This window comes from Homo sapiens, chromosome 13, assembly GCF_000001405.40.
Source record: "Homo sapiens chromosome 13, GRCh38.p14 Primary Assembly".
Classification (NCBI taxonomy): Eukaryota; Metazoa; Chordata; class Mammalia; order Primates; family Hominidae; genus Homo; species Homo sapiens.
The window spans coordinates 111,289,432-111,316,470 of record NC_000013.11 but is presented as its reverse complement, the minus strand read 5'-3'; the positions used below and the strand labels follow the sequence as shown (position 1 = coordinate 111,316,470).

General features: G+C 46.1%; 2 protein-coding genes across 56 annotated transcripts in view, besides 4 other annotated features; both read right to left on the bottom strand.

The window, feature by feature from the left end:
• The window catches only part of TEX29 (testis expressed 29), a 28,064-nt gene extending 27,778 nt beyond the window's left edge, over positions 1-286 (bottom strand). For both annotated transcript variants that reach the window (XM_017020387.2, NM_001303133.1), the window contains exon 1: positions 214-286. In XM_017020387.2, coding sequence (XP_016875876.2) covers positions 214-260 — 47 coding nt within the window. In that variant the 5' untranslated portion in view covers positions 261-286. The remainder of the gene's footprint in view (positions 1-213) is intronic.
• Positions 297-852: an enhancer, noted in NCBI's record as "H3K27ac-H3K4me1 hESC enhancer chr13:111967966-111968521 (GRCh37/hg19 assembly coordinates)". NCBI's record gives its function as "activates a minimal SCP1, AML or CMV promoter by ChIP-STARR-seq in primed H9 embryonic stem cells {active_cell/tissue: H9 hESC(primed)}" and the evidence as "EXISTENCE:reporter gene assay evidence [ECO:0000049][PMID:30033119]".
• The window catches only part of ARHGEF7 (Rho guanine nucleotide exchange factor 7), a 191,116-nt gene continuing 174,813 nt past the window's right edge, over positions 10,737-27,039 (bottom strand). For 18 of the 54 annotated variants that reach the window (XM_047430722.1, XM_047430726.1, XM_047430728.1 and 15 more), the window contains 4 exons: positions 24,177-24,353; positions 15,624-15,723; positions 14,939-14,993; positions 10,737-13,480 (listed from right to left, as the gene is read on the bottom strand). In XM_047430722.1, the coding sequence (XP_047286678.1) occupies positions 13,358-13,480; positions 14,939-14,993; positions 15,624-15,723; positions 24,177-24,353 (455 nt within the window). In that variant the 3' untranslated portion in view covers positions 10,737-13,357. Of the gene's footprint in view, positions 13,481-14,938; positions 14,994-15,623; positions 15,724-21,275; positions 24,354-27,039 lie in introns of those variants that run through there. The other 36 variants (XM_006719956.4, NM_001320852.1, XM_017020815.2 and 33 more) reach the window with 5 other exon arrangements.
• Positions 12,008-12,067: an enhancer, noted in NCBI's record as "active region_8031". NCBI's record gives its function as "activates an Ori minimal core promoter by ATAC-STARR-seq in GM12878 lymphoblastoid cells {active_cell/tissue: GM12878}" and the evidence as "EXISTENCE:reporter gene assay evidence [ECO:0000049][PMID:35858748]".
• Positions 12,148-12,217: an enhancer, noted in NCBI's record as "active region_8030". NCBI's record gives its function as "activates an Ori minimal core promoter by ATAC-STARR-seq in GM12878 lymphoblastoid cells {active_cell/tissue: GM12878}" and the evidence as "EXISTENCE:reporter gene assay evidence [ECO:0000049][PMID:35858748]".
• Positions 19,846-20,345: an enhancer, noted in NCBI's record as "H3K4me1 hESC enhancer chr13:111948473-111948972 (GRCh37/hg19 assembly coordinates)". NCBI's record gives its function as "activates a minimal SCP1, AML or CMV promoter by ChIP-STARR-seq in primed H9 embryonic stem cells {active_cell/tissue: H9 hESC(primed)}" and the evidence as "EXISTENCE:reporter gene assay evidence [ECO:0000049][PMID:30033119]".

The following is a 27,039-nucleotide window of genomic DNA, read 5'->3' as shown; positions in this document are numbered from 1 at the left end:
GTCTTGCAGCAACGGCACAGCCCACAGTGCACAGAACTCCTTCCAGGAAGCATCTGAGGAGCTGCGCATGGGACAGCCTCAGGGCAGACAGCGGGGGCTCCACGAGGCAGCAGAGGGTGGTGTGGGTGGCGGGAGGCGTGTGCATGCCCCACACCTTCCTCAGGTTGTAGGATGTCATCCCTAATTTCCTTTATTCATCCAACAGATACTTACTGAGCCTGCACTGTTACTTCCTGTCTTCCTTGACAGATGGCTGGCATCAGGTTCTTCTTCCAGGAGAACTCACCTGTAAAATTGAGCAAATGTATGAGGCTGGTGTTATTGGTTATGTCTGCCCCCAACAAAAATATGCTGGAACTTTGACCCCTATACCTCAGCATGGCCTTGTCTAGAAAGAGGGTCTTGCAGATGTGCTGCATTAAGGTGAGGTCAGATGGCGGACCCCTAATCCCATGTGACTGGTGTCCTTATGAAGGGGGCGATTTGGGCCAGCCTCACAGAGTGCAGAGGGCTGAGGCGTCTACAGGCCAAGGAACCTCAAAGACGGCAGCGAACCAAGGAGCTGGAGGAGAGGCCTGGGCGGATTCTCCTGCACAGCCTCGGAGGGAGCCATCCCTGCTGACACCCTGAGCTTGGGCCCTGGGCTCCAGGCCAGGAGACGACACATTTCTGCAGTTTAGGCCATGCAGTCTGCGGGGCTTTGCTGGGGCCACCCAGGGAAGGAGCATGGTTCTTGCTTCTAGGCACTGAAGAGAAGACAGCACAGCCGAGGACTCTGAGGGGTGGAAACACAGTGGAGCCCAGCTCTCCACTGGGGGTGCTTCCCTGCGGGGTGTCCAAAAGCGGGGCTAGTGAAGCACGGGGGCCCTGCAGGACTCAGCAGGGCGGGGCCAGGGAGGAGGGGCTGGGGGAGGCCGCAGGCGGGTGCACTGGAGGGCCCAAGCCTGCCTCCCTGGCCAGGTGCTGCTGGGACATGCCCAGAGGGCACACTCAGAGAGCTGGAGGAAGAGGTGCATGTGCTCCCAGCCCACCCACAGAGCCCTAGCAGAGTGGAGGCCATGCTGTGTAGGGAGCAGCAGCTCCAGCCAAGCCTCAGCCCAGTCTCCAGCTCAATCTTGCAGGCAAAGAGCAAAACCCACCAAAACTCAGAATTAAAACAATCCCCCCTCTGCCCCCAGCAAAAATTGAGTGCCGACATCTGTGCCCCACACTGACAGGGAGCAGACATCACAGATTTTGTCCAGACATGTTATTTAACAAACAAAACTCCAATAACTGCCCTCTGGAATCCAGAGTTGATGTGAAGTGTCCAGTATTCAACAAAACTCATGAGACACACCAGGGAACAAGAGTAACCCCTTTTCATTCTTAGGGGCAAATACAGGATACTTGGCATGTATGTGGGGCCCTCTCTAACCACAAGGACGTGACAACTCAGGCAGACTCAGACGTTCTGATGATGCAGTGTCATCAACACGCAGACACCACATATCCTAATACGAACTCTTTCTTGATGAACTTTTGGGAAAATTAATGTCTGCAAGTTAAATCTCCCTGCTTTTGCAAGCCGAGGCCCAAAGAAATAAAATTAAATTCAAATCTGAGTTTGGGCCAGGCGCGGTGTCTCACACCTGTAATTTCAGCACTTTGGGAGGCCGAGGCAGGTGGATCACCTGAGGTCAGGAGTTCAAGACCAGCCTGGCCAACATGGTGAAACCCCGCCTCTACTAAAAATACAAAAATTAGCCAGGCCTGGTGGCGAGTGCCTGTAGTCCCAGCTACTCAGGAGGTTGAGGCAAGAGAATTGCTTGAACCCGGGAGGCGGAGGTTGCAGTGAGCCGAGATCACACCATTGCACTCCAGCCTGGAGTGCAGAGCAAGACTCCATCTCAAAAAACAACCAAAAAACCAAATCTGAGATTGTTCTCCCCATTTCTTGTTCTGCTGTCTCAGCCAGAGGGGCCCCAGTGTCCTCTCCACCCTTCCATGGATGCGTGTGGCTCCTCTGGGGCCCCAGTGTCCTCTCCACCCTTCCATGGACGCGTGTGGCTCCTCTGGGGCCCCAGTGTCCTCTCCACCCTTCCACGGATGCGTGTGGCTCCTCTGGGGCCATGGATGCTCCAGGAGGCTCTCATGTACACAGTTTCAGAGCCCAGCACTCTCTCCAAATCCATAAACAAAAGCAACGCTCTTGCGCCTTGACAGCCTCATTCCCAGAATCAAAGTTCCCATGAGTCAGCACTCACGGTGGCTGAGGCCCTGAGCAGGTCAGTGCCATGGAGGGGCAAAGCGAGCCCTTGCCTGGGAGCTGACACTCCTCCCAGAGGGACTTCCCATCAGGAGGTCCATTTCGACCCCTGCCTTGATCATATCTGGACAACCCACTTCTGTCAACGTGTTCCTCACTCAGAGAACGGCACCGGAGATGCGCCCGCCTTCTTGAAAAGCTTAAAGGATCCTAACTGTGGCAGCCCTTTGGGGTGGGAGGTCCCCCCGTGACACAGGGAAGGCCCATGAGCCCCGAGTCTGCCATGTTCCCTTACCTCTCCAAGTCAGAAAACTCCATCCCAAGGGCATTTTCCACCTGGTCAAAACAGGCCTGGTGTTTAGGGGAATCACATTCTTTTCTTTACACTTTTGCCACCTAAGCTTGCATCCCTATATGCTATGGTTCAACTTTTTTTAACACTTTACATAAACTGAATAATTTAGTGTATTTCTACACCTGGCCTCTTTCATTTAATGTTACGTTCAGAGCATCACCCACGTTGAGGAGCAGAGCTTTGGTTTGACATGTGCATTTTCACCACTTATCCATTCAAACTATCTGGGTCATTTCTGTGGGGCATACTCCTAGGAGTGACACTACATGGTATGGTGGGCAGAATTCAAAGACGCCACAGGATTCCTGCCCCCGGTGTCTGCCCCCGACCCTGTGAGGTCCAGGCAGGATCAGGATGGTCACCCCCAGGATCTGTGAACAGGACACGGTCACCCCTGGGATCCATGACTAGGACAGGGTTGCCCTCAAGACCAGTGAGTAGGATGGGGTTGTCCCCAGGATCTGTGAATAGGGCAGGGTCACCCTTGGGGTTCGTGAATAGGATGGGGTTGCCCCTGGGATCCGTAACTAGGACTGAGTCACCCCTGGGACGCGTGACTAGGATGTGGTTGCCCCCGGGGTCCATGACTAGGACAGGGTCACCCCGGGATCTGTGAATAGGATGGGGTCACCCCCAAGACCAGTGAATAGGATGCGGTCACCACCAGGATTCGTGACTAGGACGCAGTCACCCCTGGGATCTGTGAATAGGGCGGGGTCACCCCCAGGATCAGGCTGCATCGTAAGGCAAAGTCGGTGTGATCCTGGCTCCTGTGATTATGGCATGAAATTCGGAGCTCTGTCCTGGCTGAAGTCAGAGATTCTCCTGCTGGGTTTGGAATGTGTGAGGGGCCAGGGGGCAGGAACCAGAGAGAATGACTAGCAGCCAAGGAGCAAAAGCAACCTCTGGCCAATGGGCAGCAAGAAAATGGGCCTCCATCCCTCCACCACAAGGAGCGAATGCTGCCAGCCACCTGTGTGAGTGCCTGGAAAAGGCCCCGAGCTCAGAGAACCTGGTCCCTCTGAGACCTTAATGTCAGCCTGGGAGGACCCAAGCAGGACCTGCAGCTCTGCCATGCCTGGACTCTTGACCCACAGAGACAGAGACACACTCGGGATGCTAGGTGAGGCACGCAGTCGGTCACAGCAGCAGCACTAGCAAACGAATGCATGTGGGAGCGGAGTATCTGCGGCAGATGATGCCCGGCTCTTTTCTAAAGTGCTTATACCAAGTCACTCTGCAACCAACAGCATCCACACCTTCGAAAATACTTGACAGTATTCATCATTTTAGTGGTATTTTAATAGTGTAATTTTTACCTTTAACTTGCATTTCACCAATTATAAATGAGATCAAAGACCTTTTATGTTGACCGGCCATTTTATATTCTTTGTGAAATGTCTTTCAAATCTTTTACCTTGTCTCAATTGTCTTTTTCTTATTGATTTGCTACATAGGCTGGGTGTGGCCCTTGGTGTGCGGTGCTCTTACTCAGCCACTGAGAAGATGGCACGGCTGCATCTTCTCTGTGGTTTAAGCAGTTTATCATTGGTTACATTCATTTTAGTCAAAGTTATTAATCTTTTTTTGTGATCGGAGCTTTGTGTGTCCTGTTAAAAAGTCTTTCCTAACTCTCAGGTCATGAAGATGTTCTCCTACATTATTTTCTAAAGGGTTCTCGCTTCCCCTGCACATTTTTGTTTTTGAGACAGGGTCTGGCTCTGTTGCCCAGGCTGGAGTGCAGTGGTGCGATCTCAGCGCACTGCAACCTCTGCCCCTAGGGCTCAAGCAATCCTCTCACCTCAGCCTCCCAAGCAGCTGAGGCCACAGGCACGCATGACCATGCCTGGCATTTTTTGCATGTATTTTTAGTAGAGATGGGGTCTTTAACCCAAGCTCAAGCGATCCGCCTGCCTCAGCTTCCTGAAGTGTTGGGATTACAGGCATGAGCCACCACGCTCGGCCTCGCCTGCACATTTACATTTAACATCCACCTAAGATTAATGGGCACAGTGTGAGGGAGGAGTCAAGGTTCACATTCACCCCCGTGGAAAAACTGCTGGCTAAAAGGAACTACTGACTGAAAACGTTGTCCTTTCCCCACTGCTCTGCCGCAAGACCCCTGGTGTAATCTCCAGCGGTCCCTCCCTGGGCACCACCCCTGGGTTGGCTGCCTAAACCTCGTCATCCTGCACGGCATGTCTTCCCGCCTTGCTCTGCGTTTGCACGAGGCTCTCAGCTGTTCTTGGCACTTTGCACTTCTACATAAATTGTTTTTCAAGATCCAGAAAAGCGGTAAAAAACTCACAGGAATTGAATGGCTGGCACGGAGTCCACCAAGCAATTAATTGAACTGATGCCTTTCCATGAAGTCCTCTAACCATCAACACGGAGGACTGACGCCTTTCCATGCAGTCATCTAACCATCAACGCGGAGAACTGACGCCTTTCCATGCAGTCTTCTAACCATCAACATGGAGGACTGACATCTTTCCATGCAGTCCTCTAACCATCAACGTGGAGAACTGATGCCTTTCCATGCAATCCTCTAACCATCAACACGGAGGACTCATGCCTTTCCATGCAGTCCTTTAACCATCAACACAGAAAAATGATGCCTTTCCATGCAGTCCTTTAACCATCAACACGGAGAACTGACACCTTTCCATGCAGTCCTCTAACCATCAACACGGAGGGGAACTGATGCCTTTCCACGCAGTCCTCTAACCATCAACACGGAGGAGAACTGATGCCTTTCCATGCAGTCCTCTAACCATCAACATGGAGGAGAACTGATGTCTTTCCATGCAGTCCTCTAACCATCAACACGGAGGAGAACTGATGTCTTTCCATGCAGTCCTCTAACCATCAACACAGAGAACTGATGCCTTTCCACACAGTCCTCTAACCATCAACACGGAGGAAAACTGACGCCTTTCCATGCAGTCCACTAACCATCAACACGGAGAACTGACGCCTTTCCATGCAGTCCTCCAACCATCAACATGGAGGACTGACGCCTTTCCATGCAGTTCTCTAACTATCAAGATGGAGGACTGACGCCTTTCCACGCAGTCCTCTAACCATCAACACAGAGGAGGACTGATGCCTTTCCATGCAGTCTTCCATCAACACGGAGAACTGACGCCTTCCCATGCAGTCCTCTCACCATCAACATGGAGGACTGACACCTTTCCATGCAGTCTTCCAACCATCAACACAGAGGAGAACTGATGCCTTTCTACACAGTCCTCTAACCATAAACACAGAGGAGAACTGACGCCTTTCCATGGAGTCCTCTAACCATCAACACGGAGGACTGACACCTTTCCATGCAGTCCTCTAACCATTAACATGGAGAACTGACGCCTTTCCATGCAGTCCTCTAACCATTAACACGGAGAACTGACGCCTTTCCATGCAGTCTTCCAACCATCAACACAGAGGAGAACTGACACCTTTCCATGCAGTCCTCTAACCATCAACACAGAGAACTGATGCCTTTCTACACTCTAACCATAAACACAGAGGAGAACTGATGCCTTTCCATGCAGTCCTCCAACCATCAACACGGAGAACTGACACCTTTCCATGCAGTCCTCTAACCATCCACACGGAGAACTGATGTCTTTCCATGCAGTCCTTTAACCATCAACACGGAGAACTGACACCTTTCCATGCAGTCCTCTAACCATCAACACGGAGAACTGATGCCTTTCCATGCAGTCCTTTAACCATCAACACAGAGAACTAATGCCTTTCCATGCAGTCCTCCAACCATCAACATGGAGAACTGAGGCCTTTCCACGCAGTCCTTTAACCATCAACACGGAGAACTGACGCCTTTCCATGCAGTCCTCCAACAATCAACAAGGAGAACTGATGCCTTTCCATGCAGTCCTTTAACCATCAACACATCGCTCTGTTAATTTAGACCTTCCCTAAATTCTTTCAACAGTGTTTTGTAGTTTTCTACATGAAGGTCTTACATATTTTTCATTTTATTCCTATTTGACATCTTTGCTACTGAAAAGATTTTTATATTTTCCATTTGTTCCTGATTTAGAGAAAATTGCTACATCTTGTATCTGGCAGCATTATTAATTCTATTTAATTGCGGATACTTTTGTATTTTCTACATAAACAACAGTATAGTTGGGAAGTCGTGGCAATTGTAGTTGTTTCTTTACAACCTCTGTTCCCCTCCCCCTTTTCCTTGCCTTGCTCCACCAGCATGCCTGGGGAATAGCCGGTGAGCGTTACTAGCCTTCTTATATGTATATTGATAGGTTTTTTGGTAACTGTTCTCAATCAGACTGAAGAAATTCCCTTTTATTCCTGGTCTGCAATTGGTTTCATCTCCACAAATGGATACTGAACTGTAACTAAATGTATTAATATAATCATATGATCATAGCATTTTTCTCCTGGGACTGCACAGCCATTTTCCTTCATTCTAGAACAGACCAGCAGTCACAGGGCCTGGAATGTTCATAAATCTCAGAGAGCAATCATCACTCATTATCCTACTTCTATACAAGCTTGACATTTTCCATAAGAAACAAACACAACAGACATAGCGGCCAAGAGAAGGGTCTGGCTTTCAGGAAGGCAGGAGAAGAGACACAGGCTCCCAGGCCTGCAAGGAAGCCATGGGGCTGGGGGCTCGGGCGAATTCTTCCACCGAAACAAGACAGAGCAGCGGGACAGATGGTGACAGGTTTTTAAGTGTGGTGAGAGGTGGAGGCAGTTCCCTCGCAGCAGGTTGCACCTTTTTGTAAGCAGTCCAACATCCTCTGAGGGCCAAGGAGGAGGAAGTGGGGTTGCACTTGTGAGACCCCATGTAGCCACTGTGGAGAGCTGGAGACAGGACTGACCCCCAATGCCATAGTTCATCTCAACTCCCCCGATTCTCAAAGCACTTTAACAGCTGTAAAACCTGAACATGTTTTAGAATGGATGACCCTCTCCAATTACGACAGGCAGCAACTGCTCTTAGTGATATGGCAAAGAAGGTGTGGCCTCCAGAATAACTAGGATGTGGCAGTGCTGGGGGTGCCGGGCTTATTCCTGCACACAGGCTGGTCACACGCCCTTCTCCTTTGGCTGCCCAGACACTAAGTAACCATCATGCACAGAAATGCAGAAGACCTCAACTGAGCAGCCCACCTAAATGGGCATCAGTACATTGTTACTACAGGCACTAACAGCACTGGGGTGCGTCAAAAAGGCAGACTCCTGGATCCCACCCTCAGAAATCAGCTCCTTAGGTGGGGGGTGGGGGTGGGGGGCACAGGAACTGACATTTTCTAAAAGCACCCAGGAGTTAGCAGGAAGGCCCTGCCCACTTGCCACGTTTTAGAGCAGCGTGGAGTGGAAGGGGCCAGGTTAGGCAGGAAGTCATGACCCTAGACAAGGGCGAGTTTGATATGCCTTAGAAAGATGAGCAAGGAGCCTGGCACAGGAAAGAACCACCCACCCCAATCTTCCCCACTTTCAAAGCCATGCTCGTGTGGGGGCAGCGGCTTCCAAGGGAAGGCGTCAGCAATGGAGAGCATGTTTCGGAGTCAACGGCTTCCATGAAAAAGCATCACAATGAAGAGCATGTTTCGGAGTCAATGGCTTCCATGGGAAAGCATTGCAATGAAGAGCATGTTTCAGAGTCAACGGCTTCCATGAGAAGGCATCACAATGAAGAGCATGTTTCGGAGTCAACGGCTTCCATGAGAAAGCATCACAATGAAGAGCATGTTTTGGAGTCAATGGCTTCCATGAGAAAGCATCACAATGAAGAGCATGTTTCGGAGTCAACAGCTTCCATGGGAAAGCATCGCAATGAAGAGCATGTTTCAGAGTCAACGGCTTCCATGAGAAGGTATCACAATGAAGAGCATGTTTCGGAGTCAACGGCTTCCATGAGAAAGCATCACAATGAAGAGCATGTTTCGGAGTCAACGGCTTCCATGGGAAAGCATCACAATGAAGAGCATGTTTCGGAGTCAACGGCTTCCATGGGAAAGCATCACAATGAAGAGCATGTTTCGGAGTCAACGGCTTCCATGGGAAAGCATCGCAATGAAGAGCATGTTTCGGAATCAATGGCTTCCATGGGAAAGCATCACAATGAAGAGCATGTTTCGGAATCAATGGCTTCCATGGGAAAGCATCACAATGAAGAGCATGTTTCAGAGTCAACGGCTTCCATGGGAAAGCATCACAATGAAGAGCATGTTTTGGAATCAATGGCTTCCATGGGAAAGCATCACAATGAAGAGCATGTTTTGGAATCAATGGCTTCCATGGGAAAGCATCACAATGAAGACCATGTTTTGGAATCAATGGCTTCCATGGGAAAGCATCACAATGAAGAGCATGTTTCAGAGTCCACTGCTTCCATGGGAAAGCATCACAATGAAGAGCATGTTTCAGAGTCAACAGCTTCCATGGGAAAGCATCACAATGAAGAGCATGTTTTGGAATCAATGGCTTCCGTGGGAAAGCATCACAATGAAGAGCATGTTTTGGAATCAATGGCTTCCATGGGAAAGCATCACAACGAAGAGCATGTTTCGGAGTCAACGGCTTCCATGGGAAAGCATCACAACGAAGAGCATGCTTCCCATGCCATCATGGCCCCATTCCTTCTTTGAGAAACTAGAACTGTACAATTGCCAAGGCTGTCATTTCCAAAACACCTTGTAAAAATATGGCAAATTCTATCAAAGTTAAAAATGCACAAACGTTTCCAGAAGTTAATCATTTAGCTGTATGTGCACAGTTGCACAGCTGTATACATAAGGATATTCAGTAGAGCATTTCTGCAATAGCGACTGCCCCCTCCCAAATATCCACTCATAGGTGACAAACTGCAGGGCACTCAATCAGGGGAATATTTATGCAGTGGTCAAAAATGATGAATGGTTCAAACTACATATACCCATATGGAAAGATAAGGTTCAAAGAGGCAACTTAGGAAAGAATATACTTAATGCAATCTCACTTGCTGGGAAAAAAGTTAAAACACAGACACCACACACTGGCATTTGCTCAGAAGAATGAACAGAAGAACCTAAACGCAGAACAGGAGCTACTTCTGGGGAACAGGGTCAGGGCGCTGGGAGGCAGAATACATGCTTTTTACTTTGTATCCTGGTATACTGTTTCTATTTTCCGTATCAACAGGTATTATTTTAACAATTAAAAACTCTGGTACATGCTAGTTTTTAATTAGGAAAATAATACCTGCTTATGGGAAAAATATAAATAGTTCTGCAAGAAAATGAAGTATACATGGCCCAGTATACCTTTAAAAAGTGTACAGTTAAAAAACGGTATACATGGCTCAGGTACATCCTAGTTTTTAATTACTGGTGAGGTATCAAGTACAAATGCCTACCTACTCCACCAGTAAGATGAACAATTCACATTAGGTGTCTTATGCATCGCACGTTCTTGTCACAATGCAAATCAACAGAAATGGGTTTTTGAACGCCTACTTGTTTTAACCTGAAATGACTAAAGTCCTTGAAAGTGTAGATCCTGACTTCTTTTGAGCTCCTACAATAAGCCAGTGGGCTGGGCACTGCGTGTGGCTACCTGACCTCTGGCTGGCTGAAATGACATGCAGCGGAGCTGTAGACACACCTGAGCCAGGTACACGGACCATGGACAGGAGACCCCGCTTGGTCCTCCCGGCCACCCTTCCGGAAGACACCCTCGTTTGCACCACCGCCACACAGGGACACACACGAGCAATTTCCTTTTGTCTTATGACAGCTCCTAAAAGGGACCCCACAGATATCTTCAAGAAAGTTTCGCTTACTTGATCCCACAAAACGGTGTCCTGAGCGCCTTCCAGAATGCAGGTCATTCCTCCAGGCATGGGTGAGGACCTGGGGGCTGTGCCTACCAGCGTGACCTGTTACTTCAGCTTTTGTTCCTAAGACTTCCAGTGTTCTTTCCTTGTCTTTTAAAAAAAAATCTTCAAATTTTCTCAAACTCTAGACTTTAAAGGAAACATGTTATCTTCAGTATCAAAGACAGACAGAATTTTCAAATCTAAAACAGCCCAAAGAAACTGTAAAGCTAACAAGCACACAGAAAACACATCAAAGAAGACGAAGCGACACATTCTGTGACATAAGAAAAATAATCAGTTTAATAATTACAACAGTGTAGCATCAACATTGTAGTAGTCAACACTAGGACATTGTCTGTGACATTTAAATTAGGAGTTTCTCCACACTTGTCAACAGGCGCCCTGGGTGTCCCAGAGAAGTGAAGAAATGATTGGCATTAAGGAGTCCACACAACCAGGGCAGGCATTCAAGGTCCCAGACGCCCAGCGCATGTGGACAAGCACAGACGCCACTGAGTGTGAAGGAACGAGCTTCTGATGCTACATTCCAACATCGCTGAAAACTGAAAGTGCTTCACATCTACAGGATAAGAAATGGCTTCATCTCCTCATCCATACAAGGTGAGAGCAAAGGAGTAACCCTCGGGCAAATCGTGGCCCCTTTAAACGTTTATATCAAGTTCCCACCCCCTTGGGAGGTCACACGGTGAAACAGACACAGTTATATACAACAGGGCAGGTTTTTAAAAAGAGTTGCTCTCAGACGCATTTTTCCTGCTCCCTAAAAAGCCGAGGAAGATACTGGATCCACAGAAAGAAAAGGCAATGCCGTAACATGAGGCCCTCATGGCCGCACCGTCCAGGGGAAGGGCTGTTAAAAACACAAGTATTCTTGTGAAATACTTCGATCTGAGCATTAAGGCAGGTCTGCAGGAGATCCGTCCTGGGGACTCGGACAGCAACGCTACCGGCTCCGAGAGGACAGTTAATGTCGCCTCCCGGCAGAGGGGCGGAGAGATCAGACAAGAGTTGTTCCTGAGTTAAAACCTGCTACAACAGCAAACTCCAATAAACTCAAGTTGAATGGTTTCCCACTGCAATGTCTTACGCATCACCAAAAAATAACTTGTAAAACTCAAGCTTACCAAAAAAGAAAGTGTTGATCTTTGCTTGTGCCCGCATGAGTGAATGATCTGCTAAGTTGAGGAAGCTGGCAATTCTAGTGAAAAGTCCAGGTGAGGCCAGGTTCTGCAGCATGGGGCAGGTCCACGCTGAGCCCAGGCAGACAACGTGACCAGTCACGGAAGGAAGCCAAAGGGGCTTGCTGGGCACCAGAGACTGTAATTAGCAAGGGCAAGGAAGAACCGTAAACAGCAACACAACACTCTCCCAAGGTGCCCAGCTCAAAGGCATCAGTACACAAAGGATTCAGGTGCAGTTAAAGGGCAATTTGGCCAATAGACAGAAAATCAGAGAGTCAAATCTGATGCGCAATGAGTTGTTCTGAGACCAGTAATCCACGGTGCTGCAATTTGGGTTTTTAAAGATAGAACACTTGTTCTACGGAAAAGTGTATCTCACTTTAAAACCAACCTTTTCACAGGAAAGGAAACCAAAAGCAAAGTCCCTGTGGTCACCCTTATTTATTGCTGAAGCAGAACGAAAACCTGCTCCACGGGCCGGGCTTCCTGCCCAGGACCGCACAGGCTTTCCAGAGCCAGCCTGGGCCCAGCGAGCCGCGGTGAGGACAGGCTTCGTCTCCTCTGCACTGGAACACAGTGGGGGAAACGTTCCCTGCTTATGCCTATGTTACTTAGTGGAACCTAAGGTGTATATTGCTTTATTCTTGCTGAAGGAGGGGATTTTACTTTCGGTGAGCACTGAAGCCTGCTGGCTACGGCCAATGGTGGAGGAGACCTCGGGATGAGGCTGGCCTGATGACAAAACTCCACCCATCAGTATCAGCCTGCAGCATGGCCTCCATCTGTTTTCATCAGCTGCAGTGACTTATAATAAATAATACATTCTATTTACAGGTTCTAGTAAGATCTCTCTTTGAGGGAAGACAAAACAGTGTATTTTGTTGTTACTGAACTAGCCTATACAGAACCGTCTGTGTCCTCCCAAAACGCAGCAAACTCATCTGAGAATCACAGTACTCAGACAGCGGACAAGAGCAAACACCTCTAGGTGGATGCGGCAGTGCCGTATGGGCCTTCCTTGAGGTCAAGACTGAGTCTGTCAGCCAGCAAGTTGCCCTCAGAAACCCGCAGGTCTGGGACTGTAATGCTGCTTTAAGAGAAGACTTCTGAATGGGACTGAAGTGTATCTCTGCAGGTATAAATAAGGTTATTTAGAAATACCGACATGGGGGGTGCTGCCACAGCACGGTGGAGGCCCTGGTGCTGCGGAACGAACCAGGCATCCACCAGGCTTCTGCTTCCGGTGGATGCGGGCATGGGACTTCTTATTCACGTAGCTGGAAAGGACATTCTAGCATGGGGATTAGCCCGGACAGAACCACCACAGGTATGCATTCAAAATGGGATATTTACAAGAAACATGTATATATAATATTTATATATTCAATTCAAAGTCTGGAAAAACAAGACTTTTAGTCAGTCACTGAACTTATTGCAGAATGAGGTAACTGAGATGTTCACAGAGTGGATTGATGTAGCTCAGGTCCTCAGAGTCAATCCCTCCTGTCTGGATTCATCAGTCATGGTTTGATCGTCTCCATTCGCAGAATAAGCTCCAGCTTTTCTATATACAGAGAGCAAGGTGGCGCCCCACCCAGCCCTGCCCTGTGGTCCTGAGTGCACCCCGACTTGGGTCAGGGGTGCCCAGCTTCACCTCAGAACTGGTCTTCAACAGAAAGAACTGAGGACATCCCTTATAGATTGGTCTCATCCCAGGCAGGATCATTCATGTTCTTCAGGACTTTCCTCACCAGCTTCTCCAGGTCTTTGCGGGCTCTCTGTTCTTCCTCTAGAGATTTCTTCATCTTTTTGTTGTCCTGTAAATTAAGCAGACCACAGGGTGTTCACTATCTTTGGCATCGCGTAGGGCTTCCTTTCCCCAAATGTGTATCCTTGAGGAGCTAAGGCCTCGATTCATGAAATCCCACGTGAGCTGCCTATGGGCTCTGAGGTCGTGGGGATCCACGAAGGTCAAACACCTGGACAGGGTGGCAGCGGTGCTCCTGACTGTGCTGCTGTTCCCGGGATGGAAATGGTCCTAATGGCTCTTATTAAGTCCATGAATGAATCTCTATAGAACATACCGTAAGAAAATAGCTGGAAACTGCGGACGAGACAGCTCCTATCCAGCCTTTTTGTCCATTTATAACCACCTTCCAGAGTTACAGAAAGGACTGGAAGTAACAGCCACTGACAGGTGCAGGAGCAAGTGGGCGAGCACCTGCTCTGTGCAGCTGAACCCAGGCATGTCTCGGACGTAGGAGGCATGCACAAACAGATGCCTGCTGCCGGTAGGGGCAAAGCGTGAACATGGAAGCCTGCCAGCCAGGCAAAGGTGTACCTGGAAGACCTGCGGACACTGCTTAGAATGACAGCACATGTCCAGTTCCACACAGCAACCTGCTCTCAGCTCTCTATCCCAGACCACAACTCTTCTCAGGCTGTTCCTCGGCCAAAAGAACACCCCAACCTTCCCTCACCTAGCTGGGCAGAGGACCAAAGCCGCTCGTACTCACATTCCGTGCAATGAACACCCCAACCTTCCCTCGCCTAGCTGGGCAGAGGACCAAAGCTGCTCATACTCACATTCCGTGCAATACCCAGAACACCCTTGGTTAGTCGCCACTTCTGGCTCGCTAACCTGGCTTCGGGAGCCAAGGACCATGCAGTGGCAGAGGCTAATCTCAGGGGCGCCTCGCAGGATTTGTCACCAGACAGAACTTTCGATATTTTAAATTATTCTTCCAACAGAATTTGCGATGTTTTATGACATCAAAATCAGTATTGTTAAGAAAAAAAAAAGAGTTTAAACAAGTCACTTTAGAGACAACCAATTATTTTATCTGCTGGACTTCTCAAAGACATGACCTCCTTTTAGTTTTTTGCTTATGGACAATCAGCTTTTTATTTTTATTTGAGACGGAGTCTTGCTCTGTGGCTCAGACTGGAGTGCAGTGGCACAATCTCGGCTCACAGCAACCTCCGCCTCCTAGGTTCAAGCAATTCTCCTGCCTCAGCCTCCCAAGTAGCTGGGTTACAGGCACCTGCCGCTATGCCCAGCTAATTTTCGTATTTTCAGTAGAGATGGGTTTTTGCCATGTTGGTGAGGTTGGTCTTGAACTCCTGACCTCAGGTGATCTGTCCACCTCGGCCTTCTAAAGTGCTGGGATTATAGGTGTGAGCCACCGTACCCAGCCAGCTTATTTTTAATGTAATTTTCTTCTTTTCTCCCATTTGAAAAGAAAAAAAAGATTTAAAGATGGATTATGACGTACCTGTCTTAATTCTTGAACTTCATCCTTTAATGCATATACGGTATCCACAAGACTCCTGAAACAGGAAACAGAACACACACACATGAACAAGGTGAGGCATGGAGAGGACACACGAAAACTTACCAGGAGACACTACGATGCTGAGAGGAGGACACGGAGCTGCTCTGCCTTACCCATGTACTGTCTACATTCACAACTAAAAACTGCCAACCTCTGTGCATGGCAGGTTCAAGCCTAGTCAAGGGCAACTTCAGCCTATGAAGACATTTTAAAAGTGAAGCTCTGGCCAGGCACAGTGGCTCACACCTGTAATCCCAGCATTTTGGGAGGCCGAGGCGGGCAGATCACCTGAGGTCAGGAGTTTGAGACCAGCCTGGCCAACAGGGTGAAAACTCGTTTCTACTAAAAATACAAAAATTAGCCAGGCGTGGTGGCACAGGCCTGTAATCCCAGCTACTCGGGAGGCTGAGGCAGGAGAACCGCTTGAACCCGGAAGGTGGAGGTTGCAGTGAGCTGAGATCGCACCATTGCACTCCAGCCTGGGTGACAAGAGTGACACTCCGTCTCAAAAAAAAAAAAAGTGAAGCTTCTGAAGCCATACCCCCGCCCTCAGGGAGTTGTCTGGACTCTACTACCCCACCGCAGAGGTCAAACATCTGCTTTAGAATACCGGAAGACATCTTACTTTTCTTCTATCACTGTCTGACCATTACTTTTAGTTTCTTCCACTATAATTTTCTCTTCTTCTGGAAGCAAAACTTGTGGAGCAGATTCTTTGCGTGAACCTAGGATCATGAAAAAATAATAAATAAACCTCAGGCGAATACCATGGCAGAATGAAGAAAAACAACTTGACTATACCATGTCACTTAAATATTAAGTTCTAGCAATTATGCATTTAAAAACGTTCATCCAGGCAAGCTAGAGGAGGGCATCTTTTACCAGTTCTCTTCACCTCTGTCTACCGAGCCCAGGCCTCCTCATGACCAAAGCCAGAGAGGGAAGGAAACTGTAGCCCTTTTCAAATCGGAATTACGGATTGTTGAAACCCCAGCATTTTCAACAGGGAGGAAGTTAAAGGTTGTGACTGTACTGCTCTGGATATTCATCCCATTTTGAGCCATTATTCCAAGAGTTTCAGCAAAGACATATGAGACCAATCAGAACATATACAGTGAGTGTTTATACATCAAAGATCTGGCAATAAAAACATTTTACTCTACAGCAACATTTAATAATCAAGATATTACAGCATCATAGCACATGGTTTAGAAAAAATAACATTATTTGGTCCTTTATGAAAACTTTATATTTCCTAAAATATAAACATTTTTCTAAATGAAAGCAAACTGCTCACAATGTCAGAACATTTCTGTCATTTAACCAACACCTACACAAGAGCTTATATGGGAAAGGCCCTCAATAAATGTTGCAAAATATGTACTTTAGAAATTAGGAAATCAAAATACTCATTTTAAAAGGTGAGGAAGAGAATCAAATTGTATTTAATGATGCAAGGGAGAAAATCTTTTCTTAAAGAAAATATTTTCTTGAAGATTATATGGTACAACGTGTACCATTTATATTTTTGAAAAATTATGCCAGATGCAAATCAGAAGGCTATAATCTATCACAGAACACAAGCACCTGCAAGCGGTACCATGAGAAACATTTCTCCATGAAGAAGGGACACTCATGTTGGAGACACGCTCGCTAACTATGGAAACTACAGTGCTTCCGCTTGCTGGGTCTTTCTTCTGGCCCGCCTTTTGCTTGTTCCTAAAAGTTTGTCAGATCATAAGAAAGGCACTTGCTGTGCAGCCTCACTGTCACAGGAAAGCTCAGTACAATACGAATGTTTTATGAAGACGGGATTTTAAAGAATGGCTTCAGCCGGGTGCCGTGGCTCACGCCTGTAATCCCAGCACTTTGGGAGGCGGAGGCGGGTGGATCACGAGGTCAGGAGATCGAGACCAACCTGGTTAACATGGTGAAACCCCGTCTCTACTAAAAATACAAAAAATTAGCCGGGCGTGGTGGCAGGCGCCTATAGTCCCAGCTACTCGGGAGGCTGAGGCAGGAGAATGGTGTGAAGCCTGGTGGTGGAGCTTGCAGTGAGCCGAGATTGCACCACTGCACTCCAGCCTGGGCGACAGAGCGAGACTCCGTCTCAAAAAAAAAAAAAAAAAAAAAAATGAATGGCTTCACCAGCATTTTACTGCACGCTTAGGCTCCCCTGAGCAGAACAAGGTTAAGGATGATGCCAAAGCTTAAGATGTCTCATAAGACGTTCCTGACACGCGAGGGCACCACTGTTATTTCCACAGCAGCGTGCAACAGGAACCAGGCCTGGAGCTCACTGGCCAGGTGCTGCCCCTTGTGCGTCTGCAAAACCTGCTCCACTCCTCAGAATGGAACCCCTGGGAAACTGGAAATTCAGGGACTGAACAAAATCAAGACACTGCTCCTTCATCCTCGCGGGCATAAGAAGATAAGATGACGTCCTGGGAAAGCAACCAAGTGCTGCTCTGTCACCTGGCACAAGCTTCAGGAGACACTTGCCACACCGATAATGGAAAATGAGGGTAACTGCAGGATCTTAGGATCAAATGTAGCACTTAAAATTCAGTCACAAGCCATGGCTGGCACACCTGCGGCTGTTGTTAAAGTGGGCCAAATGCCCCTTCAAAGGCGACCCTCCCTCCCCCTCATGCTGTTGTGTCTCCACTGTGCTACCAGCTGGCAGCAGCAGACCTGACACTGTCAGGGAGTGAAGGAGAGGGCCCAGCTCCTCACATGCGTCCCCTGGGCCACAGTCCACCCACCCACACACACGGTGACCTATGTCTCGGGAATAACTTTTCGGACAGAAGATTCAGACAGGACTGCAAGATATGATTTCAGAAAAACGTTTTTTAAAACATTAGGCTGGTAGTATCAGCCCTAGGAATCTCTACAGGTCCAGGAGACAAGGACGGAGACAGCCCTTTGGGCTGCAAGGACTCCTGACACTCCAGGTGCCTGTGCTCCAAGAGGCCACGGGAGAGGACCCTGAGGGTAGTGGGCCCTGGGCTGCCTTCTGGTGGGCCCTTCCTGGCTAACGGGTAATGCTGCTGAGACACGTGGGCCACACGGGAAGATACTGCTTAGGAAGGAAACTGATGTGGGAGGGATATTACAGCAGAGCATGGGGTGCCAGCCAGGTGGAGAAGCTGCCAGTGTTTCTCATACAAATACAAAGGGTACCCATGTTTCTACCAGAAAATGTTAATTCATGTGCTATTTGCCCAAAAGATACAGAAATTTCATAGAAAATAAAAAATGAAACAAAGAAAATCCAGAATATTCATAAAGATTCAGATATTTATACCACATGTGAAGAAATCAAATGGCTTCACTTACTCTTCCCTGCAAAGAGAAGTCCACTGATAACATCGCACATTTTAGTCAACTAATTTTCCCACCAATTATCCAGTTGTCCTGCTTTGAGCCCAGACAGTTGATGACTGTTTCAGAGTCAAATTCACAAAAGCATCACTTGTGTATCTCACATTGTTTGCTACACATTTCTTCAAATGGATTCACTAATGAGACACACTGGAAAAAGTTATGTAACTGCGGATCAGGCAAAGTAAATTCTGTATTTCAATTATTTTTGTCTCTTCTAGCTTCCTAGACAACCTGTTTATATCATCTGTTTCCAACATTAACATTTTCGAATGACATAAAATAGGATCACAAAGAATGTCAACTTTGTAAAGAAATGGGTCAGACACGGGGTCGACTTCCGTACGGGAGTTGTGAGGCCATGAGCCACGTGTCCACTGCCTCCAGCCAGAACCAGGACGCCCCTCGTGGTGAGTCTTTTCAGTTAACCTGGGCACAGCACTTAAGCACTGAGTCTCAATTTCATGACTTACAAAGCACGGCAAAACTAATTCTCTGGAGCTGTTCTGAGGATTTAAATATTACATTTTGTAAATATCTTTTAACAGATGAAGTCATAAAGGTAAAAGTCATTCCATTATGTAGCATGATTGGAGGAACTAAGCCTCTAAGAACTGGTACGGTTACTGTATGTGCCCGGCACAGGTCTTATTTCTACAGCTACACTTAAAGCATGCGAGAAGGATTTAGGGATACACAAATGTAAGGTGGAAAATGTTGTATCACAGATAGGATGTACTGCTTGATTCCTGAAATGCACCAATGTGAAAAATGCCATTTACGGATCTGATGGCGAACTAGGAAGCTTGTAAATGAGGATTATTAACACGCCTAGAAATTATGCAATTCTAATAATCTGCCTAGTTTTCAACATACAGTTTTTCTAAAATGATTGAAAAGTTTTTACTACCTTTCAAAAAACAACAAAGAAATGTTCTCTAGCCAGGTTTACGTAAGTTGACTACTTCTTTAAAGAACGATGTTTTAGAAAGCAGATTTAACAAGTTATCTCAGAAATTATTAAGTGTTTTTAGAGACATCATAGCACATTATTCCCTGAGTTACCTAGAATGGAAAAACAATTTAACAGCAGAATGATCCGATAATGTTCTCTCGCTTTATTTAAAATCCATAACAGAGGCTCAGACAGAGATGAACACATTCATGATGGTTCTAGCACAGTCAAGATCTGTGTTTCCCAAACTGTTTTGTTTCTGGGAGATGAGAGGGGTTCCACAACACATCGTTTCGGGAAATCTTGTGGGCTACACTTCTCGGAGAATCACAGCGCACCCTTAGCACAGTACAGGCTCTGATGAAGTCTGCCATAAAAATACTCACTTAACTTTCATTCAGCATTTCTGAAATGCATTTGAGTGCTGAACTTTTTTTCTTTTAAATATCATTATTAACATCTTGTGGTTTTGTGGCTAACATTTTGAGAAGTGCTAGATCAGCTTATAATCTATTTCTATAACCACATACACAAAACAGCTGGTTGGTTCTTATTTCCGTATGGAGGTGGGAGTAAGAAAAACACGAATATAATGAAATAATTTATACTTAACACCAATCCAGCACTTCTCAAACTCGAGGACTCCAAGAATGTGCCTGTAGATGCTCGGTGTCTGCCTGCCCAGTGCTGAAAAATCCTGCAGCAAGCATTCCACTCTCAGGGGCTGCTGTGTGCCACACGACTGGAGACCCCAGGGGGCACCAGGACCCCACAGCAACACTCAGAGGTGTGAGCCACAGAAGGCTGGTACACATGTGTGTTAACATGAGCACAAAACTTAACATTTTAGGGATGTCTGAGAACCCTGCCCCTCCCCCACCCCAAATAGTCACACATCTCTAGAGAACTATGGAACTTCGTTTAAGAAACACAGATCTAACCCAGCATTTCCATTTCATAGACGAGATGACTGGCTACAGCAGCAACACAGTGCTGATCAACCCCTGGGGCCCCGAGTGCCAGCTCGCGACCACCACGCTTGGCTGTTAGACACCACTCTGGGGCCTTATCTGACGACACACAACTAACTGCTCCAGGAGCAACGCAGCGCAACTGTCCAGCCCAGGCACCAGTGTGGTGTGCATGCATGCTTGTGTAAGCCTGCCTGTACCAAAAGCCTAAAAACAGGGTAAGTTCATCAGAAGAGAACACCTGTCTATCTGGCCAGTGAACCAGGACATGTGCAGGATAATTCACCTTCTTAAATTCATTATCTTTTCTAAAATCTGCATCTCTAATCAACTGAAAATCAAATAACATTCACAGTGGAGCAAAATACAACTACACTTAAAAACGATTTAGTAATCTCTCTCCAAAAGTCATCTAGGCCATTTTGTTATTTATGGCTCTAAGGGTCTAATTTACTTTTCTTAGGAAAACTCCCAACTTGTGCTGAGAGAGTTTTCTACATTTACTGTCTGCACCTTGTCCTATCACTATACCTGCCACCAGGTACTTCGTTTCCTTTCCCTTTATTTTGCTTCATTACTCTCTTAGCTGGATAAGCACTTTATAAAACAAAAATTAAAAACTGGCCTTAGTCTAAATAAAAACATTTTAAAGTTGTGCTTTTTCCCATTTATGCGCACACACAAAAAATAATGCTTCTTTCTGAAGACAAACCCGCCAGTGACTGAAAGCTTCTTAAGAAACGGGAAAGAGATGAAATAAGAAATGTACAAGGAGTGACTTCGTCTTGTCCAGAACACGGCTAATCTAAGAGAGTGCAAGCTTTTCTATCAGGGCAGACAGAAGGGTTCTATCTATCACCTGCCTGCCTTTGGAAGATGTTCCGTTCAGGTAGAAGAGCCAAATTATATTACACTGCAAACTATGCTATTCCCCTCCCCCATGTAACAAATATTAAAAGCCACGGGCTAGCAAATGCAAAATTTATTTCAACTGTACATAACAGGTTTTTTTTAATATAAAACAAACACTTCATTGCCATATGCAACCACAAACAATAATATGCATACTGTACAATACAATGCAACATTCAGATATACATCCAATTGAGTTTTTCAAATGGTAGTCACCTACTAAAAATGGCTTTTCCCATTCACAGATAAAGAGCACAATTATAGAGATTTTTTTCAAGATCTTATACCACTATATACACATTACTGTGTTTTGGCAATTTTATGCAAAACACAATTAATATAGCTTATTATATACTTGTGGCAAGCGTTATTTCAAAGGGAACACCATTTAGGCCATTTGCAAAGGCCTGGTGATGGCTTAAACCTACCTTCTAGTTCAGACTCTTCATCCTTTCATTAGAATACTAACTGTACAAATAAATATTACAGAATTGTATGAACAGAAGATTCTATTATCAGCATGACTGAAGTCCCACAAAAGTAGAAACAATGGCCCTCTGGATGCCACATCGCCACTGCCACAGGAGAACTGTCTTTTCAGGCTTGTGGCACTAATACTTCTTAACCAGATCACAAAAGCTAATGGTGTTAGACATTCAAAACAAATGCAAAGAAAAGGTCAGGTTATTCTTCTGCAGTGATCTTAGCATCAAGAAAAAGCATCATCAAAATGCCTTTAACTGGTACAAAATGGAATGATGGTAAACCGTCAAAACTTTGGTGTATAGAATATCAATGAAAATGTCCCAGTAAGATAACCAAATGATACTTGGTATTAAAGGAAAATCCAAGTGCAGCAACTGTGTTTGAGTGTTGTGGTCTACACAGCCCATGACACAGGCAACCCACGCCTACGAGAAGGCAAAGGCAGCTTAGCCAGTGCGCTAATGAGTAGTCTCGAGGCAAACAAAAAAGTGCTCCCTGACGCAGAGGACTACCGTATGTAATACAAAACCAAAATCGCTTCTAAATCCACTTATAGTAAGTATAGAAACTTTGTAGTTATCTTATTTCTCCAAAAATCCCATTTACTATCTGGCTGAACATACATAAACCCCATCTCTGCCGGAGATTAACACTGGGCTCTGACTGCTCCTCAATGTTCTTATTTTTACTAATTGGTATGAAAATACAAAATCTTCCAATGGTGTGAGCAGTTCAGTAGCTACTTGGGAACAAATATTTGGAATTAACAGCTGCCCTGATGTCTCCTGTGCCATTAGCTTGTTCCATGCTGAATGAAGCCACCCAACTTTCTAAACAACGTGCTACTGCCAGGAGCTCCCTGGCAGCTCTGGGCTTGTGAGCAGCAGGACCCGGCTCCCAGGACAAGACTGATACTGCATCAGAGTTCACTCTGCACAAACAAGATCAGAACACTGAATACGTGGGTTTGGCGAAGGAGTGGGCAGTGGGGAAGAAAGAAATCACGGCCACCTGGAATTACAGCCACCCTGAAGAAGGAAAAAATGTTATTCTCAATTTACTATGGCATCTTGTTTTCTGAAGCTGGTTTCAATGAATACTTAAAACACAACCGTAAGGTTCCATTTTAACACCAAATAGAGCGTGCATGGGACAGAACACAATTTGGCCCCTCAAGCAATGACTAGGTGTGGATTTGATGCTACAACTGAATGCAACAGGTCACATTCAGTGCTTTTTGAAGCAGAAATTGGTCTGAGTGAGGCCAGTGAAAACTCCTTACAACAAATCCCAGGAAAACGGGTGAGTTTTTTTTTTTTTTTTTTAAATAAGTGAGCCACATGGCAACCTAGTAATTCTTCAATGAACTTCAATATCCCATTACAATGAGGCATTGTGGTTTTATACTATGGGGTTGCTGTAAATGGAGTTTCACTGCAGCTGGTTGCTGAAAATAATGATGTGTCCATGGCTCTTCCAGACAACATAAGTATGGATGTCAGGGGTGGGGAGCCGGGGGAACTGAAGCCACAGCACTTGACTTTGTAAGTATTCCAAATGCCTCTACTACAGTCCAGTAGTCTACACTTGCAGAGGCTGAATGCTTCAGCTTTCGGGCTTTAAACTGTTAGTGTAGAGATTTTACTGTAGAGTGGTACAGGCTTGCTATGTGCCTTATAACAGAAATCACTGCAATTCAGGGAAGTTTGGGGTGAAGATGCGAGTGAACATCTGAGCCATGACAGTAAGCTCTGCCTTTGGAAAGGAGAGCTCCCACTTCACGGCCACAACGCAGCACACAGAAGAGCACAGAGCCGTGAGGTGGAGACAAGCTCTGAACACACGTGACGCCCGCCCGTCTGTGCACCTGCCAAGGCCCAGAGCCCACATGCTGTTCTGCACGATTACCAGAACACAGCCGTTGGAACTGGGCTCACAGCACCTTTGCTGCATATATTCTTCTCATCTCTCCACAACTACTTGATCAGTGTTCATAGCACTTAAAAAATTTAGGTCCCTACAGATAAGGCCAGAGTCTCCTCCATGGTTCTGGCACTTAGATCACAAACCTGTGTGATTTCAGTATAAAATAGAAAAGTGTTCATACAGCTGTATCCAGAAAGAAATCAAACAGTTGCTACACTGAGAATAAAAAAACCATTTGGAGCTATAAAACAACAACTACCCCTTACGAAGAGCACCCTCGGATGTAGGCTCACGTGAACACACCACCTCCCTCCAATAGTCAGTCATTCGAATGTATACTCGCATCGGCAGTTAAGCCTCCACAAAGTACAATGGGAAATATCAGGAACACTCTCAAAAGTTGTTAAAATATCACATAAAAGAGACAAGGAACAGCAAGAAAACATCTAAGAAAAGCAGGCTGCGATACAACAAGCATTTGTTAAGAAAAGCTCAGAAGTGCATTAGTTCTGGTGAGAGATATATGAGCAACAGCTCTTACGAGATGTAGAACCCATTCTGTAACTATGGGCTGTCCATATACTGTCATAGTCAGAGTCTTCCGAGAGGTCTGAAGGCTCCAAACGAGAAAGGCTACTGCGACGCCCCAGGGAGTCTAGGCTTGGTTGGTCATCATCAGCCAAGACGTGATTATGCATCAGGTCAGTGCCTTGCCATGCTAAGACGGGCGGGCGGAGGGACAGGCGCGACAGGCAGGGGGTGAGGAGGAGAACGACAGGAAGAGCCACAACCAAAACATGGAACAAAAGCAAAAGGTGATGGGAAGAGAAGGAAAAGAGAAAATAGTGTTAAAAATTGGCAACAATGCATATTTTTCCTTATATACGGCTGGGTTTCACAATAACGAACTTAGCAAAACCCTTAGAATAAAACTAGATCGATTATTATCTAATTAAACCTAATATACAATGTTTCAAACTGCTTTTTTAAAAAAAGATATTGCTCTAAAGCCCTCATTTAAGAAATCTTTTACAAATCACACCCATGTCCAAAAGATTATTCTATAGACATGTGGCAATTAATCAATTCTATTCCACATTCAATTAACAAATAGTCTCATTTAGGACATCATTTGGGAAAGGTGCCATTTATGTGGCTAATTAAAAATTGTTTCCTATCAATAAACAGATGTATCAAATGCAAAATAATTTCAAAGGAATTCTGACGGGCTTTTTCAGCTGGCTCTTTGCCAAGACCATAAACCTGAGAGTGGGTCTGGACTTACCTGATCAATCAATAACCACTGTGAGAACTCAGAGGGCAGAAAAGGATTGGGCAGGGCCCACAGCCCCAGAACCCACCCCCTGCTCCCAGGGCGCGCTGGAGCTTAGCCCGCAGGCAGGGTGCAGTGGGAAGCTGGGTCTGCTGGCAACACCGGCCACCCCAATGCAGACCCTCTGCTGTCAGGAAGAGAGACATGAACTGGCAACGTCCCAGTGTTAAAAGGAGAATGACAGAGGAAGTGGCACAACATGTCAGGAGAGAAATAATCACGAGTGGCTGGCAACTATGAGCACTGCCCATGGCCAGGCACCTGGGCTGAGAGGCAGGCTGGGCCGCCAGGGTCTCCCTCCATGCAGAGGCGGGGATGCCCCTCGCTAGGTGAAGGCAAATCACAGTAGCCCTGGCCCCTCCCTACTCCTGCTTCTATCAAATTGACCTCTGTTCTCAGACTGCGAGAACTACATCATAACAGACTGTGAGGGCCGTTACTTCCTGGAGTTAGAAATCAATACCAAGGAAGTTTGGTTTACAAAATCTTCTTGGCATCCAAATGTGTGTATTGAACAGAGCTGCATTTTAGGTAAAATATATTATCCTTCTAAAACCCGTTTTACTAAGCATTTAATGTAAAAAGAGCTGCTTTCACTATGATCCCATTTCCAGACACCTTGAGTAAGTATACCACCTTTCCAGCACAAGCGAGCAATTTCTCCTATTACTCCCTAGTTTTGAGTGTTAGGTTTAAAGGGCATATATGACTGCAAGCTCCCTGAAGCCCCAGAGTGGTTTGCCCATAATATGAATTAAAAACAAAAATCAATGTATCGTTCAATGCTTTTCTTGCACAGGAGAAATGGAAGTACAGAATACAGGCAATGTGACAAGAAAAGAAAAGGAATTGTGGGCCATTCCCCTTAGGCAGCCAGGGGCCGTGAAGCCGCAGCGTATCACAGGACCCTGGTCATGAAGAAATGTGGTGGGCACTATGACACATACAAAGCTCAGCCCTCAGTCGGCCCTCACCCACAGGGGATTGGTTCCAGGACTCCCCTTGGACACCAAAATCCTCAGACGCTCCAGTCCCTGATATAAGATGGCATGGTGTTTGCATTGTACCTACACACAACCTCCCATATACTTTGAGTCATTTCTAAATTATAGTACCTAATACAATGTAAATGCCATATAAATAGCTGTTATAAGTATAATTATTTTTTATTTGTATTATTTTTTACTGTTATATTGTTACTTTTTATTGTTTCTTTTTTCTGAGTAGTTATCTGCAGTTGGTTGAATTCACAAATGCAGAACTCACAGACACGGTTGGGTGGCCAACTGAACCTGGTCTGTTCATCTAAGACTACTTGGTTAAAATTTTATTTCAAGTAACTGAAATTGAGATGACAAAAAAATCTCAAATTCAAAATCCAAAAATTTATGGCCACATTTTACAGCCTATTACTTAAAACATGATCAATATCAAATTATAAAAATGTAGTACCTTTCATCACAACAATTTGTACTTAGACGTTATTGTGTGATTATACACATATTTATTCCACCTTCTGATGGGTTACCCAGGCCTTTCCGTTTCTCTATTTCTCTCCTATTCTGATAAGCAGTCACTACAAATGGATATTTTTCACTAAAGTATGGACAAAAAAACCAACAGTGTTGACCCTTGGCAAAAAGTCTTAATGTCATAGACGGGATATGGTACGACACCAGTAAAATACTGAAAATGGTTAAAAAAAAAGAAGCTTCTGGATAATCGAGATTCCGTGAAGGATTTACCCTGCTCATCCTATCTTCACAGCTGCAGCCGTCTTTGATAAAAGCTAAAGCAGTTGAGAAGTCCTCTTCCCTCTCTCTCCTTTTCTCAGCATTAAACAATACATGACACTAATTGGAACCACCACACTGCAGGTGATTAACAAAACGAGCAAGTGAGATTAAGTGACAGTCGAGCTGGAAAGGGCACCAAGTCCTAAATTTGAGGATACATCAGTTTCTATGCTGAGATAATACAGAAATCATCCAGTTCTCAAAAGGACCACCTGTGGTGTCCGAGGCCCCAGCAGCACGTGCCCACATGTCAGCTGTTGTGGGCACGCAGATGC